This window comes from Homo sapiens, chromosome 2, assembly GCF_000001405.40.
Source record: "Homo sapiens chromosome 2, GRCh38.p14 Primary Assembly".
NCBI lineage: Eukaryota > Metazoa > Chordata > Mammalia > Primates > Hominidae > Homo > Homo sapiens.
Genome location: NC_000002.12, coordinates 167895803 through 167913376, shown reverse-complemented (window position 1 = coordinate 167913376; position 17574 = coordinate 167895803). Strand labels below are relative to the sequence as shown.

At 39.1% G+C, this 17574-nt stretch overlaps 1 long non-coding RNA gene across 1 annotated transcript in view; it reads left to right on the top strand.

Annotated features, from left to right (window-relative positions):
- Positions 1 to 17574, top strand: part of B3GALT1-AS1 (B3GALT1 antisense RNA 1) — a 126371-nt gene that overhangs the window by 27768 nt on the left and 81029 nt on the right. The window contains exon 2 of the long non-coding RNA NR_131227.1: positions 12595 to 12645. This is a non-coding gene — a long non-coding RNA (B3GALT1 antisense RNA 1). The remainder of the gene's footprint in view (positions 1 to 12594; positions 12646 to 17574) is intronic.

Here is a 17574-nt window from a genome sequence, read left to right as displayed (position 1 = left end):
TTTGTTTTCATCCAGGTTTTTCTCAATGCAGTGGACTTCTGCCATCTTTCTTGTATGCAGAAAGTGTAGCAGAGTCTTAAATAACTTTCTTTGCACATTTCTTTTGGGAGTATATGTATTTTACCAAACTGACCATGAGTCCTTCCAGTTTATATCTATGTGCTCTACTTTTAATACGGAGCTTATGGATCTTTCAGTGTCTGACTTTTATGCACAGCCTCACTCAGGAATAAGTCCCTGAGCTTCCTCTTTTCCTAGTATGTGGTTGAAGGAGGTGCTAATCCCCATTCCTAGTTCCCTTGCATCAAGTACATGGTTCTCAGTCTCCTATCTCAAATATAGCACTTGCCTTTTTTTTTTTTTTTCTTATGGCCTGATAGCATGGGCAGTTTTGAGCTTCCTTAACCTATTTGTAATTATTTTTTTCTGTTTGGGTAATTTTTATTTATTCAGATAAGATTTCTTTTGACCTAACCCTTTTCTCTTGACTCCATGGGTTCTTTGGCTTTATTGAGGGTACTGTGTTCTTCTCTTCTTTCATGTTTGAATTTCTTTTGTCATCTGTCTTATTATTTTCATTTTCTTTCATATTTTTCTCAATGCTGTTACCTTTTCTTCCTCCTCTAAGGATTTCAGGTAGAGAGACATCATTTTTCTTTGATTACTTGTGATGTATACATATACTTTTAAATTCTGTTAGTAGTAATCTTTATGTCAAACATGTTTTGACTGATATTTCTTGAATTGTCAAAAACAAGAAAAGGATAAAGACTTTTGACTCTTTTTTACACAGGCTAAAGACTCTAGCAAATCTTTATTTCCTCTAATTTTTTTTCTAACACATTCTAGTGTTTGTTATAAAATCTGAACTCTTTCATTCAGATCATTTTCAAATCATTATTAACTGATATTAGATTTTCTCCTTCAACTTCTATTTTTGAAATATGTTTAGTTATGTAGCCTTGTTATGACAACTATATTTATGTAATCTTTTGTTTAAACACTTTCAATGCTATCAAGACTTCTACAACCTTGAATTCAGTATTTTTATTTCTTTCTAGATCAACACGAATATGCATCTAATTTTATCAGAGTTCAGTTAAAATATCTGAGAATCTCTTACTGTTTATTTCTCCTTAGAAAACTTGGAAATGAATAGATTTAGGGGGGATACAAATTTTCTCCCTTCAAAAACTGCTAAGTAAAAAGAGCATAGATATATTTAGCATGGGATTAGTCAACTATATAGTGGCCCATCAACTACAAAAAAAATACGATGACGATATTTTTAAAAAAGAAAACCAAAAAGCTCTCTGCCCATCATATTGAAAAATCTCCACATTATAACCTTGATGAGATGAAAGCATCAGTATGTTATATGTCCATATTAACAGCAGCACTATGCACAATAGTCAAGAGATGGAAGCAACCCCAGTGTCCATTGCTGGATGAGTGAATGAATTAAATGTGGTATAAACATGCAGTAGAATATTAGTCAGCCTTAAAAAGGAAGGAAATCCTGACATGCTACACCATGGATGAACCTTGAGGACATTATGCCAAATGAAAGATGCCAGTCACAAAAAGACAAATACTGTATGATTCCACTTATATAAGGCACTAGAATAGTCAAATTCATAAAAATATAAAGTAGAATGATGGTGTCCTAGGTCTGAGGGGAGGGGGAATAGGAAGTTGTTGTTTAATGGATAGAGTTTCAGTTTTATAAGATGAAAACATTCTGGAGACTGGTTATACAACAATGTGAATATACTTAACACTACTGAACTGTACACTTAGAAATACTTAACTTAAATTTGATGCATTTTTTTTTACCACAGTAAAAATTATGGTACAGAGTATGCAAATTTAGGAGTCAAAAATGGGCTATAAAATTTTCAGCTGGTGCTGGAACAATTGACATCTACATGCAAAAAAAAAAAAAAAGAATCTAGACCCAAACCGTAAAACTCTTAGAAGATAACATGGGAAAATCTAAAGGACCCCGGATTTGGTGATGACTCTCTAGTTGCAACATTAAAGGCACAATCCGTGAAAAAAAGAATTAATAAGCTGGTCTTACTTAAAATTAAGTATTTATGCTTTGGAAAAGACACTGTCATGAGAATGAAAACATGAGCCATAGAATGACAGAAAATACTTGGAAAAGACATATCAAATATAGGACTATTATCCAAAATATACAAAGAACTCTTAAAACAACGATAAAGGCAGGCACAGTGGCTCATGCCTGTAATTCCAGTACTTTGGGAGGTCAGGTGGGCTGATTGCATGAGCCCAGGAGTTCAAGGCCAGCCTGGCCAACATGCGGAAACCCTGTCTGTACTAAAAATACAAAAGTTAGCCTGGTGTGGTGGTGCAAGTAGTAGTCCCAGCTACTTGGGAGGCAGAGGTAGGACAGCCGCTTGAGCCCAGGAAGCTGAGGTTGCAGTGAGCTGAGATGGCACCACTGCACTCCAGCCTGGGCAACAGAGAGCAAGACCCCAGAAACAAACAAACAAACAAACAAACAAAAACAACAACAACAAAGAATACACAGAAAACCAAACTCAACAATAAGAACACCAACAAGATTTAAAAATGGGCCAAAGACCTTAAGAATTATTTCACCAAAGAAGATTTACAGATGGCAGTAAAGCAGATGAAAAGATGCTCCATATCATCTGTCATCGGGGAAATGAAGTTAAAACAACGAGATACCGCTATGCACCTATTAGAATGGCTAAAATCCAGAACACTGTCAACACCAAATGCTGTCAAGGATGTGGAGCAACAGGAACTCTTGTTCACTGCTAGTGGGAAGGAAAAATTGTAGAGCCACTTTGGAAGACAGTTTGGTGGTTTCTTACAAAACTAAATATACTCTTACCATAAGATTCGGCCATTGTACTCCTTAGTATTTACCCAAAAGAGTGGAAAATTTACGTCCACACAAAAACATGCGCATGGACAATTACAGCAGTTTCATTCACAATTGCCAGAACTTGGAAGAAACCAAGATGTCCATCAGTAGGTGAATAAATCTACTGTGATGCATCCAAGCAATTGAATATTATTCAGCACTAAAAAAAGTCAGCTATCAAGCCATGAAAAGACATGGAGGAAACTGAAATGCATATTGCTATGTGAAAGAAGCCCATCTGAAAGCCCACATATGATATTATTCCAACTACATGACATTCCCAAAAAAGGCAAAACTATGGTGAGAGTAAAAAATCACTAGTTGGCAGGTACTGGGGAGTAGGGAGGGAAAAACTGGCAGAGAACAGAGTATTTTTAGGGTAGTAAAACTACTCTGTATGACACTGTATTTTTGCATTGCATGCATGTCCATATATTTTCATCAATATCCATAGAATGCAGGACACCATGAGTGAATCCTAATGTAAACCATAGACTTTGGGTGAATATAATGTGTCAATGTAGGTTCATCAATTGTAACAAATGTACCACTCTCATGAAAGATGCGATAATGGGGGAAGCTATGCATGGGTGGGGCAGGAGGTTTATGGGAAATCTCTATACCTTAAGTTCAATTTTGCTGTGAACGTAACATTTCTGTAAGCATATAAAATCTATTTATAAAATATAGATATATTTGTAATCGTGTACCCAAATATGCATAAACTGTACAGTATGCACAAGAATATGCCAATAGTAGTTGTATTCTATTTTCCAACTATAAGAATAGATTAGTAATTCATTTAAAACAAAGCAACAAATCAAATCCATGAGTAGATGGTTCTGTTGTTTATGTTCCCAGTAATCAATCTCCCACTTCCCAGTGAGAGAGGCTGTGTATCTGATAGTGAGGAGATGCTTTTTGGAGCTTCCATACCCAGAATTCAAGATGTTTCTTTTTACTGATAAAACCTGTTTAATGTCTGCAGTAGGCAGAATAATGACGGCCCCCTCTTCAAAGATATCCTGACCCTAATATCCTGGACTTGTGAATACTGTATGTTATTTTACATGGCAAAGGGAAATGAAGGTAGCAGGTAAAGATTGCTAATCAGTTAACTTTAAGACAAGGAGGTTATTCTGGATTATCTGATGGGCCCACAATAATCATGAGGGCTCTTTAAAGTGGAAGAGGAAGGTGGAAGAGGAGGCCAGAGTGATGCAATGTGAGAAGTGTTTAAAGAAAAACTGCAGCTGAATTAAATTTAAAGGAGACTAATTGAGTCTGCAGCTGAATTAAATTTAAGGGAGACTGAGCAATGAATGATTCGTGCATCCAGCAGCCCCCAGAATTACAGCAGATTCAGAGAGACTCCGGGGATGCCTCGTGGTCAGAACAAATTTACAGACAAAAAAAGGGAAGTAATGTACAGAAAACGGCAGTCAGGTGCAGAAACCCCCGGATTGGTTACAGGTTGGTGTTTGCCTTATTTGAACACATTTTGAATACTCAGCAATCTATGAATGGTTGAAGTATGACCGCTGGGATTGGCCAAGACTCAGCCATTGTTACAGGTGCATACTCCTAAATTAGGTTTTCAGTGTTGTCTGCCTATTAAACTAGGTTATGATTCATCTGCAAGGACTCAAATATAGAGGTAGGGAGTCCTTCTCAGGCCATATTTAGTTTGCTTTAACAGAAGTCAACCTACTGTTGCTTTTTTTTTTTTTTTGAGATGGCGTCTCACTCTGTTACTCAGGCTGGAGTGCTGTGGTGCGATCTCGGCTCACTGCAACCTCCATATCCTGGGTACAAGTGATTCTTGTGCCTCAATCTCCTTAGTAGCTGGGACTACAGATGTGTGCCACTACGCCCGGCTGATTTTGTATTTTTTTTAAGTGGAGATGGGGCTTCCCTGTGTTCGCCACGCTGGTCTCAAACTCCTGACCTCAAGTGATCATCCACTTTGGCCTCCCAAAGTGCTGGGATTACAGGTGTGAGCCACCATGCCTGGCCTGTTGCTGTCTTTGAACACGAAGGAAGGGGACTGTGATCCGTGGAATGCAGGTGGCCTTTAGAAGCTGGAAAAGGCAAGGAGATTGATCCTGCACTGGTCCCCAGAAGGGATGCAGACCTGCCAACACCTTAATTTTAGCCCAGTAAGATCCAGTACCCAGAAGTCAGGACTTCTGACCTACAAAACTGGAAGATAATATAATACATCTGTACTATTCTAAGTTGCTACATTTTGGTAATTTGTTATAGCAGTAGTAGGATACCATGGCTGTGGGCTGAAGAGATGACCGGGAACAAAATAATTAAACTCCAGCTAGTCTCTCTAGAAATCTGTTGATTCATTTTTGGAACTAAATTTGGATAAAGATAAGGAAGCAGTCTCTCTCCTTCCCTTATCCTCCCCTCCTTCCCTCCTTCCCTCCTTCCCCATCCTTTCCTCTCTTTCTCTCTTTCTTCAATTTGCAGCTACTCTTCTATCTCACCTGGTAAAGTATTTGTTTTCCACTGTCATTTCCACTACTTGACCTCACCTGGGATTTGTCTAGTAGAAATTCCTTCCAGAGTGTCAAAATGTTGATAAGTATTTCTAATTTTCAGTGCTGACACAACTTTGTAACTCATTATAGCCTTTCATTGTTATTGCAATAGAAGGTTGAGGAGGGTGAATTGGTACCAGGACCATAACAGGAAGTCAGCACCACCAAGATAGGTTTGTCTAAGTGCTTCTTATTTTTGTCCTCAGCTGGAGCCATCATCGCTGCATACCACTTTCCATTCCTAGCTAATTGCTCTATTTTCCTTTACCTTCCTCTTCTTCATTTCTTTCTGAAGCTCACTTAGGCTATGTGCTTATACAGCACCAAAGGCTCTGTGTTTAGCTGGGTAGCCATTTCTCTTATCACTTGTCATCTTTAATTGGAAATGTTTGAAACTGGCACTGATTACCTATTTCCCATTCAGGACCTTGAATACTTTGCTTATAAGTGGCCCTCTTTCTTTTTAAAGGTTGAACACAATGACTTTTTTCCAGGGGTTCCAGGTGTGTCCTTTTCTCAAAATCTAATGTGTTTTCCTGACTATAGTTTATACTCAGGTGATTTATTGAGCCTCATCTGTAATATGTCTTTGATTCTCTGAGAACCTTCCATATCCCTAAATGAAAAGCACTTGGCAGGTAGTTAACCTTACCTTCCTTTGCCACAATTCTATTTCATGTTTGTGTCAATGAAACCAACTCCTAAACTATCTGCTGCTTTTACCGAAACCATCCATATGTCACAATCTCTCTTTAACAACTCATGGAATCTTCGATCCTTAGGGTTGAGAAGGACCTTGAAAGTAACTCAGTTATATGTAATGACATGAAAATAGCATGATAAGAAATTAAGCAAATCACGATGTAAAATTACATATACAATATGATGTGTGTGTGTTGTGTGTCCTGGAGGAGTATATACTACAATGTTAATAGGATTGTCTCCGGGTGGTAAACTTACTGATGCTTTTAATCTTCTTTCTTATGATTTTCCACAATTTCCAAATTTTCTATAATAAGAAATACTAGCTTATAGAAAGTCATGGAAAATTGCTTTTAAAATTCCAAAGGGAAAAGTTTTCAGCCTAGAATTCTCTTATGTAATTACAAGTAATTATGATCCAATTGTGTATCAATAGCAGGCTAGAATAAAGACATGTTTAGACATGAAACTACTGAAAGAATTTAGCTTCAATGTGTTCTTTTTAGGGAACTCAAGGAAGATGATTTATTATAAGACAAGGAAATAAACTAATAAAGCAAAAGGCACAGGATGTGGGAAACAAAACACCCAAACCAAAACATTTGAAGAAATTCCTAGGAAAACAGACCTGCAATAATCATGGAAAACTGTCATCTTAGAAACGAACAGGAGCCGAGAAGGATAACTAGTTTTTTTCCTTTGGAAGAAATAATTAGGAAGTGATAGGAAATAGATAAATAATTAGGAAGAAATACGTCCCTAAATATGTTTCCATAGGTAGTGTTATTCACACATTTATTCATTCAGCCCTATTTATTAAGCAAGTACTATGTGCCTTTGCTATGTAAGTGCTGGAGACATAATAGTGAACCAAAATATCCTCTCTTTTTTTGAAACATAAGAAGATAATGGCTATTATCTCCTTTAATTTTGCCCACAGCCTCATTTTATAAATGAGGTATTCTTCCCATGTTCTAAATGAGAAAGTCAAGTTCAGAGGGTTTACATAACTTGTCAATTAGCAAATGCCAGGTCTGGAAGTTAAACATGAACTAGAAGCTCATACTTTCTTTGCTCTGCTCAAAGTGGTCTCTTCTGCAGGGAGAAAAAAGTATTTGCCAAGAAATCTACTTTCTTAGAATTGTGTACTTAGCAAAAACGGTGAGGAAAATAATTTTGAAAGCTTTCTTGTCTGGCCATTTTGCGGATGATGTGTCTGGATCAATCTGCACCTGATCGTTTGTGACAAGACACTCCTGTACAGATGGGGGCTCAGCAGATGACGCTGCAGCGCGGCGCCTGAATTACTGCCGCGCGGAGCAAAATGTCTGCTCAGCATAACCTCAAATTGAAAATAAACTTGTAAACCATTGTCAGTGATGTAGCTCGAAGACTTCATGTGCTGAAGTGTCTTTAAGGTTGTTTTTCATTACAGCGTGCCCTTTTTCGATGGGCAGAATTTATTTTCTCCTCTTTAAGTGTGCTTAGTGAGGGGAAAACGGATCTTGGAAGGAAGATAGATCTGATTTTCTGGAGCTGTGTGTGAAATGCATCCCGTTCTTCAAAGCTGGGGGTCGATGTTGTCCTTCCTCCCCGGCACTTCATCCCGCCCCCCATCTCCTTTCCCAACAGCCTATCACTGCTCAGGCAAGCAGCTTCAAGGTGCTCAAGCTTGGTACTCAGTCAAGAGAGATTTGCAGGGTGTGGACAGATGTCTGCTCAGTCCACAGCCTCCCTGAAGTTAGGTTTGATATCAGCCCCTATACCAAGCTCAGGTTTGGTTAGCACAGTGCCTTCAGGCTTTGGTTCTGACACCAAGACCACCTGGGGTCTAATCCTAGCTTCACCTCTACCTAGACCTTAGACAACTTACTTAGCGTCTGTGTGCCTTGGCTTTCCGTAAAGTAGGAAAGATAATAATAGCCCCTTCTTTGTAGGATTTTAATGAGAACCCTGGTGTGAGTGATTTGGGGTTTTAAGGAATGATTTCCTCACCAATATACTTTTTACCATGTTTTTCTATCCTTAATATAATTCACCCCAAGATTTCAGATAAAAGATTCCCAAAGGCCGGCACAATTCATCTACATGTCGACTTCGGATTTGAAAAGCAATCAGTTTTCATTTCCAATCTGTTCTCCCTGGTCACACACTGAATCCCCTTAGGAAATGCAGTCAGCTCAGATGCCTCACGTCTGGTAGGTTCCCTCTCCTTGCTGGTGTTAAACCCTTAGCTGCCACACTGTTCCTTGTAGGAGAGTGAGCACCTTTCTCTTTCTAGGGCTGCTTTATCCCCAGCACCTAGCTGCTTTCTCATAATACCTACTTGGAAAATCTGTTTCGAGGATTCTGGCAAGCATTTAATTGGTAACTTTCTCAAAGTTTTACATTATTAAGAGATTTGTAATGCTGAAGCCAGATTTCAAAGAAAATACTTCCTCAGTAACTCAGAAAATATAACTAGTATTCTGCACTAGCTGTAGGGGCTACCGTGGCTTCAGTCTTGAACACACAAGGTGGTTCATCCATTTGTTATATCTTTTTTTTTTTTTTTTTTTTTTTTTTGAGACGGAGTCTTGCGCTGTTGCCCAGGCTGGAGTGCAGTGGCACAATCTTGGCTCACTGCAAGCTCCGCCTCCCGGGTTCACACCATTCTCCTGCCTCAGCCTCCCAAGTAGCTGGGACCACAGGCGCCCACCTCCATGCCCGGCTAATTTTTTGTAGTTTTAGTAGAGACGGGGTTTCACCATGTTAGCCAGGATGGTCTCGATACCCTGACCTTGTGATCTGCCCGCCTCCGCCTTCCAAAGTGCTGGGATTACAGGCGTGAGCCACCGCGCCCGGCCTTGTTAAATCTTCTCTGTGCAATTCTAGGCAAGCTCAAGTTCCCTGTGGTTGGCTAATCAGGAATGAAGAAGAGAAGACGGTGTCCAGCGTGGTATTAACCTTCAGACACTTTGAAAACCAAAGCCATCAAAACCTGTGAAGGAAAAGAAATCCTGCTCTTAAAGTCTGGGGCTCCTCCAGCATGTGTCCTAGACACCTCTCTATCTCCTTTCATTCCTCTTCCCTCTCCTCCCCTTTCTGCCGTTAACACTCCTGAGAACTATACTTACATCTATGGCTTCAGAAATCATCTCTAAATTTGTAGGTATTTGGAAAAGAATTCTCCTTGTTCCTTTCCAAGGCAGATGGATACTCATCAGATGCTTGGCCCCCTTTCAAAGTAGGCAGAATCACTGCATACTGAAAGATCAGGTCATGAGAGTGCCTCTTTAATTTGTTTCTTCCTTTCTCTTGGCTGGAATATTAAAGACCAATACTCAATCACTCATGAGAGGAGGCTCTGCCACCTTGCTCTGTCTCTTCTTTCCACGCAGCTGGCTTGATTGGCTGCTCGAGGGCCTACTACTTCCAAGTAGACCTGGCCGCCACCACCATCTGGTTGTTGTCAAATTTTCCTGGACTTCCTTCTTTCTCTTCCCCATGCTTGGTATAATTAGGGCAAGGGCCCACTTTGCATGGGGCAGAGATTCAGCCTTCCATTTCTCTCTCTCTCTCTCTGTCTCTCAGTTTGGTATTTAAATGTATATTTTGGCTACTGCCTCTCTCTCTATCCCTCTGGATCTGATGAATATTTTTTAGTTGTATTTTGCATGAAACAAATTGAGATGTGTTAGCTTAGAAAGATAGGGTTATAGTGGACCTCTGTTGTTTTTACCTCCTAGCACCCATTTACTCTTCTGGAAATAGTTACCCAGTGTCTGGAAAACTACCCTCTTCCCCACCCTCGATTCATGTTCTTTGTGTGTTCATGGAGCATGTGACTCCAGCCTGGGCAATCAGAGCATTACATCGGCCTGGCCGCAGCACTCGTTTCAGGGATCAGAAACCAGTGTAATTTTTTTTCCAGGGCTGTTAAGCAAATGCTCTTTTCCACTAGACTTGAGCTGGTAAGATGTGGTGTTGGAACTTCTGGCAGGCATTTTCCAATCACAAGGAGACAGCCTACTTGAGAACAGAGCCAGTACACAGGGTTGTGTTAAGGTATGAATGGAAAGATACCTGGTCTTGTGCCATTGAGCTAAGGATAAAGTACCCCTGAAGCCAGGCCCCTGTGAACTTTTTCTGAGACAGGATCTCACTCTGTCACCCAGGCTGGAGTACAATGGCACCATCTCCATTCACTGCACCTCTGCCTCCTGGGCCCAGGTGATTCTCCCACCTCAGCCTCCTGAGTAGCTGGGACTACAGGTGTGTACCATGATGCCAGGCTAATTTTTGTATTTTTTGTAGAGACAGGGTTTGGCCATGTTGCCCAGGCTGGTCTCTAACTCCTGGGCTCAAGTGATCTGCCCATCTCAGCTTCCCAAAGTGCGGAGATTTTTGGAATGAGGCACAGGGTCTGGCCCCCCTGTGAACTTTTCATTTACAGTCTAGTATATTCTCTGTTTTCTTAAGCCAGCTTAGAGATCATCTGTCACTTAAAATGGGAAAATACCAATTGAAGAAGGGGAATGCAATTTCAAGCTCTCTAGTTTACTAGAGTTTTCATTGTTCAGATTTGGGGCCCATCCCCAGTTAATTATTAAATGGTGCTTTGATTTATTCAGCTATTTTTCATTGTGTTTATATCTTCCCCAGGTTGACGGGGACAGGGTTTGAGTGTTCTTAAATTCCCTAGTGACAATATCATATTGACAAAACCAAGGTTTCATCCCAGTTTGAGAATTCTGAAATTTATGTTTTCAGACTATACTTTTGGCTTTTACATTGAGGTCTATGATCCATTTTGAGTGTGGTGTGAAGTAACAGTCTAAAATCTTTTCTTTTTTTGGTGGGGGAGGAGGATGTCTAACTATTGCAGACCCTTTATGTTTTGGGAACCTGTCTTTTCCCCATTAGATCACCTTGGCACCATTGTTGAATATCAATGCACCATAAATGTAAGACTTTATTTTAATTCAATATATGTGACAAACCCAATAAAATAGTGTTACAATTATTTATTTATGCAATCATATCTTTTAACATCATAAAGAAAAGATAACATTTATATTAGGTTGGTGCAAAAGTAATTGTGGTTTTTGCCATTTTAGGTTGGCGCAAAAGTAATTTCGGTTTAGAAGTAATGGCAAAAACCGCAATTACTTTTGCGCCAACCTAATACAAGGTGTTAACGGTTTTCATTTCTTTCTGTAGAATCCTCTTAACATCTGGTGTTATTTCCTGTAATCCAGATAACTTCAGTGTTTACTGTAAGGCAGAACTGATAGCAATATATCTCAGTTTTTGTTTATCCAGAAATGTATTTACTTTCATTCTTGAAGAATAGTTTTGCTCAATATAGATGAATTCACCAACAGTTAAAAATTTTGAATGTTGTAACAGTGCTTTCTGGTTTCAGATAAGAAGTCAGCCGTTAATTAACAATACTGTTGTTCCTGGTGTGTGATGAGTTAGTTTCCTCTTGCTCCTTTTAAGATTTTTTTCTATGTCTCTGTCTTTCAACTGTTTGACTATGAGATGTTTAAATGTGGATCTCTTTGTATTTGTTCTATTTTTTTTTAAGATTCTTGGATCAGTAGATTGTTTTCATCAAATTTAAGAAGGTTTAGCCATTATTTTTAAAAACAGGTTTCCCTTCTCCTCCCTTTGTAGAACTCCCATTTCATGTATGGTAGTAGGGTTGTCCCACAGGTCTCCGAGGGACATTTTTCTTCAATCTTTCTCTGTGTTCTTCAGGTTACATAATTTCGAGTAACCTATTTTAGTGTTCATTATTTCTTCTGCCATCTCAAAACTGCTATTAATTTTTTTAATGTTTCAACTGTAGAATTTTATATTTTATATTGAGTTTTTCTATTCAAGAACCATTGCCATCACATTTTCCTTTAATTCTTTAATTTATTGCCTATATTTATATGCTTTGAAGCTTTCTGCTAAATCCAACACCTAACGCAACTCAGGGTCAATTTCTATTGATTGCCTTTCCCCTGATTGTAGGCAATACTTGGCTATTTCTGTTCATTTCTTATGATTATTTTACCTGAACACTGGACACGATAAATAATATTTTAACTACGCTGGATTATGATGATTTTTTTTCCCTGCTGGTTGTTGATGGTAATATTTTGTCTGCTTGGATGATTTAGCCCTTTAGAAACTTTCTTTCCTGTGATTTGTGGCTGCTGATGTCTCTGCTCAGTTATTGTTATTTTTTCATCCAGGGTTCTCAGGGGTAACATCTATATCTATATAGCTTAGTGGTCAGCTGATGATTTGTTAGAGATTGTACTCAGACACTTTGAGCCTATAATTCTTCCTCCTCGGCTCATGGGTCTGTATGTGGACTTGGGAAGTATTTTTAAATTTCAGTCAGTTGTCTAATCAGTCTCAATTTTTATTCCTTTCTAGGTCCTCTCAGATCTACCATGTGAGTGCACACATCCTTCCAGTCAACCAGAGGTATGTGGAGAGTTTATGTGGCTCCTCTGTGGCACTCTCATTTCAAATAACTTCCTATTAAAGTTCTGGACCATCCTCTGGTCACATGATTCTTTCCAACTGGAACTATAACTTTAGGCTGCCAGCGTTGCTGACTTGGCATTAGCAGAGCCACTGATTACCAGTGCTGTTACTTTTTACTGATGGCATAGTGGGATGTGGATTTCCATGTTCTACTCCAAATCAAGTCATCCTCCCTCCAGCAATGAGGCTCTCACTTTTCATGGTCAGCCTCACCCGGGCACAATTACTGCCCTGACTGAGCTGGGGAAAGGAAGGAGGGAATGTGAGCCACCATAGGCAAGAAAGCCACAGACTCCTAGTGTTCTTATATAGAGTTCTAGCAGCTTTTATGAATAAGCATTTCTCAATTTGTTGTTTACCTTTAGTCAATTACCAGAGCTCTGAAATGGTTGTCTATGAGAATTTTAGCCCGTATTATAGTTGTTTTTTGGGGGAATCTATTTGCCAACCTCTTTATTTAGTTGTTTTGGGGGGGAATGTATTTGCCAACCTCTTTACCACAGCCATTGGTCAGTTGGTTGGGTGTTTTGAAATGCTAAAATTATATCTACTTCATGAATATATTCATATCTTTAATTTCTCCTACGATTTTGAATCAATAGGAAATTCCTCTTGGTAAAAACCATTCCTTTGTAATTATATAAAGGCTTTAAAAGTTTGGTTTCTCCTGTAATCCCCTCATCATAACACTCGCCATACCAAATTACAAATTACCTACTTCATTATCTTTAACCACCACTAAGCTGTAAGCTCATTATGGTAGAGACTAGGTCTCTTTTGTTCATCAGCTCTATTTCCAAGGCCTAGCACAGTCCGATAAGAGGTATTTAGATTCATTTATAAATATTTGCAAAGGAAGTGAGTAAACTTCTCCTGCTCTTATGGATCTTCATCTCATGTAGGTGAGGCTGTGCTGAGGTAAAAGGGAGTGCATAGCACATGCAGAAGGCACTGAAACTAACATTCTCCCTCTAAGTAATCAGTTACCTGGGTTTTCTTTGTTTAGGAGAACACTCCTTTGCTCTCCAAACGAGTGAACATTTAGCTCATTCGCATTTTACCTGGTGAACCCTCAAATTGTTTTTGAGGGCACTTAGCATGTAGTTATAGTTTTAGGAAGGCAGTGTGATAGAGTGGAAAAACTAGGGCTAGAAATTTTGATCTTGCCTCTGTAAGTAACTAGTTGAATGTCATCTTCTCTGGCTCTCTGTTTTTTCGTTTGTAAAATCAGAACGTTGGACTATTTTATTGGTTTTCAAACCTGGCTGAGCAGGAGAATAAACTATGAGCATTGTCCCGTTGTTAGAATCCCCAGGTCTGAGTTGTGGTAATCTGTGTTTGTAAAAGCTCCAATGGTGGTATTTTTTTTTTTTTTTTGTAGTGAGTTTGCACTGGCAAATAGAAGGCATTTGATAATCCTTGAACTAGATGATCTCAAAGACCCCTTTCAGTCCTAACCTGATTCTCTTCCATTCCTCTCAACAAAAGAGAAACTCTCTTTGGGTTATGCACCCACGGTTACTCCAAGCCTCTGTGTGGGGAGTGTGTCTTTGAAAATGTAGCTTATTCAGAGAAAAGAAAAGACAGCTTCTGGCTTGATTTTTGTGTAGTCACATAAAACTGAGGTTGCGTGTGCCCCCCAGGGTGAAGAACTTAATGAGAAATGGGAGTTGGATAAATAAAATTTACATCGTTTTTGGCTGACTGATAATTGATATAGGTAAGATACTGCCACTTATCTAATAAATGAGGCTAGCAGTGTATTTTGATTTCTTTATCTTTCCAAACCTGCAAGTGAATGTCTGCTATTGTTTCTTATTTCCCAAGCTTTAGAAAAGCAGTCCTTCCCAGCATGTACTTACTTTTAAAAATAAATTAAATGAGACCTTGCCTGCAAAGAGGGTACACGGTGTATTATAAACAGGACTCCTCTTAACCAATTCCCTGGTCTGTTTTTCTGGGAACAGAATGAAATAAACTTGAGGAAAGTATGGCAAATAACTGCCTAGGCCACATAAATGTTCCTGTTCAAATACAGGCATTGCATTCCTCTTTGTCTATGAGAAATAAAGACCCACCTAGGTCTCTAAAAGGGAAGCTGAGATCAATGGAACATTCTGAAAATGCTAGCGATCTCTGTGATGCCAGAAGAGAATGCCTTATCTGGATACCACAGGCCAGTATTTGCTAAGTCAGGCTATCACCAGGCAAGCCTAGTTTGTGACACAAGGGATATTCTCCAAGTAGAACTGCAGACTCTTATTTCCCTAATCAAGGATCCCCAGTGAACTTGGTGCTATCGTTTGGCAGGTAGCGATTTTATTTTGAAAGCAGGAAAATAATAAATAGTTTTAACATATAGCTTCCTAACCCAGTGATTCTCAGTGTTCTTGAACTGATAAACCACTTTATTTGATAGAAATATCTGATAGTGGTAGACATTTTGATTAAATTATAACATGTGCCCCAGCAGAAACATAATGTATCCACTAAAAATAATACAGGTTGGCCGGGCGTGGTGGCTCACGCCTGTAATCCCAGCACTATGGGAGGCTGAGGTGGGCAGATCATCTGAGGTTGGGAGTTGAAAACCAGCCTGACCAACATGGAGAAACCCTGTCTCTACTAAAAATACAAAATTAGCCAGGTGTGGTGGCACATGCCTATAATCGCAGCTACTCGGGAGGCTGAGACAGGAGAATTGCTTGAATCTCCTGGGAGGCGGAGGTTGCAGTGAGCCGAGACCACGCCACTGCATTCCAGCCTGGGCCACAGAGCAAGACTCCGTCTCAAAATAATAATAATAATAATAATACAGGTTGAGCATCCAAAAATCCAAAATCTGAAACGCTCCAAAATCTGAAATTTGTTGAGTGCTAACATGACACCACAGGTGACAATGCAACTGTGCTGCTTAGTTACCTGGAATGCATTCTTTTTTTCATTGCATTAATGGTATTTCTTATTTTTATTGTTAAGTATTTGTGTGTGAAAAGGTAAGAAAATGATTGCTTATTGCTAGCATATCAATTCAGAGTCAGGAAAGATGGTGAGACCAAACAACCACAGATTGTCCAAATGGGTGGCTAACACAATGATACCTTTGCTTTCTGATAGTTGAAGGTACACAAACTTTGTGCACAAAATTATTAAAAATATTATATAAAGGTAACTTCAGGCTATATGTTTAAGGTATGTATATAACATAAATGAATTACATATTTACACCTGGATTACATCCTTAAGATATCTCATGTATATGCAAATATTTCAAAATCTGAAAAAAATCCATCATTTGAAACATTTCTGGTCTGAAGCATTTTGGATAACAGATATACAACCTGTATATACAAACAGTGGATCAATATATGAAATGCTTTTGTCTTCAAATAGTAAAATGGGATTCAAGATAGTGTGGAAAATGTTGCTAATATATAAAAATAGACGAAGGAAAATTATTTGAAAGGACTGTGCAGGACAATAACTGCATGATAATGGTAGCGTTAATAGGTTTTGCCTTTCTCATACTTCCTGTAAGGTGGTTTTAAAAAATTTATCATATGGTTAATTAACAATGAATGGTATTTAAGTGAAGCTCATCTAATGGTCTCAGCAGCCATCTCTATCTCCATGTCTTGTCTTTCCTCATGCACTCTTTCAGTCAAAGAGAAACAAAGGAACAGGACAACAGCTTTTTTTTTTTTTTTTTTTTTTTTGAGACAAGAGTTTCGCTCTTGTTGTCCAGGCTGGAGTGCAGTGGCACAATCTCGGCTCACCGCAACCTCCACCTCCTGGGTTCAAGCGATTCTTCTGCCTCAGCCTCCTGGGTAGCTGGGATTACAGGCATGCACCACCACACCTGGCTAATTTTGTATTTTTAGTAGAGACGGGGTTTCTCTGTGTTGGTCAGGCTGGTCTCGAACTCCCAACCTCAGGTGATCCACCTGCCTTGGCCTCCCAAAGTGCTAGGATTACAGGCGTGAGCCACTGCGCTAGGCCACAACTGCTCTTACATGGGAAAGAGACTTACGGGTTTGAGTTGGCTGTAGGTTTAATATGATTCTGGCATTCTTGAGCTTAGGTGATTTTGGGGTGATGGACCACTAAGCACACCTAGACAATTGTACAAAGCATGAATTCATCTATCTCACAAAGAATATTAACAAATTATATTGACAAGGAGGAACTCTGAGACATGAATGCTGAAAATGTTGTTCTACCTGCTCTCTTGGTCCTGCACTTGAGTCACCACCTAAACCCATTCTACTCGAGTCCAAATATAGCTCTTTAATCCAGTCTTCGCTACCATACTACCTACTCTGCTTTAAAATCTTTCAATACTACCTATTTTCTACAGGAGCCAACTTTCAACACGATGTTTCAGTCAAATGAACTTCCACGGCATTTTCATCTCTTGTCTTTGCTCACACCGTTCTCTCTATCTGGTGTATCTGCTCTCTTCCTTGATAAACTTTTACTCATTTACTCATTGGTAAAAAGCCTCCTTGATAAGCTTTTACTCATTTACTTAGCTTAGAAATTACCCATTCTATAGTGGTTACTACAAAGCTACCATGGAGTGACTTGCTCCCCATTTACTCTTCCATTATATTCTTTACATATTGCTGTTACACAAATCATCATGTTATACCACCAGGATTTACTTCCAGTGTTTTTGTTTCCTCTGTTCCCATACATTCAACTCCCCTCGGGAGGGACCCTACCTTGTTAATCTTTGCATAACCAGATTATGAATATACTTCTGACACACAACAAATAACAATAAATATTTGTTGAATGAAAAAGCATTGATTTATCAGTCACTGTGTGAATGAGTGAATGAATCAATGAAATGGCAGCAGTCAT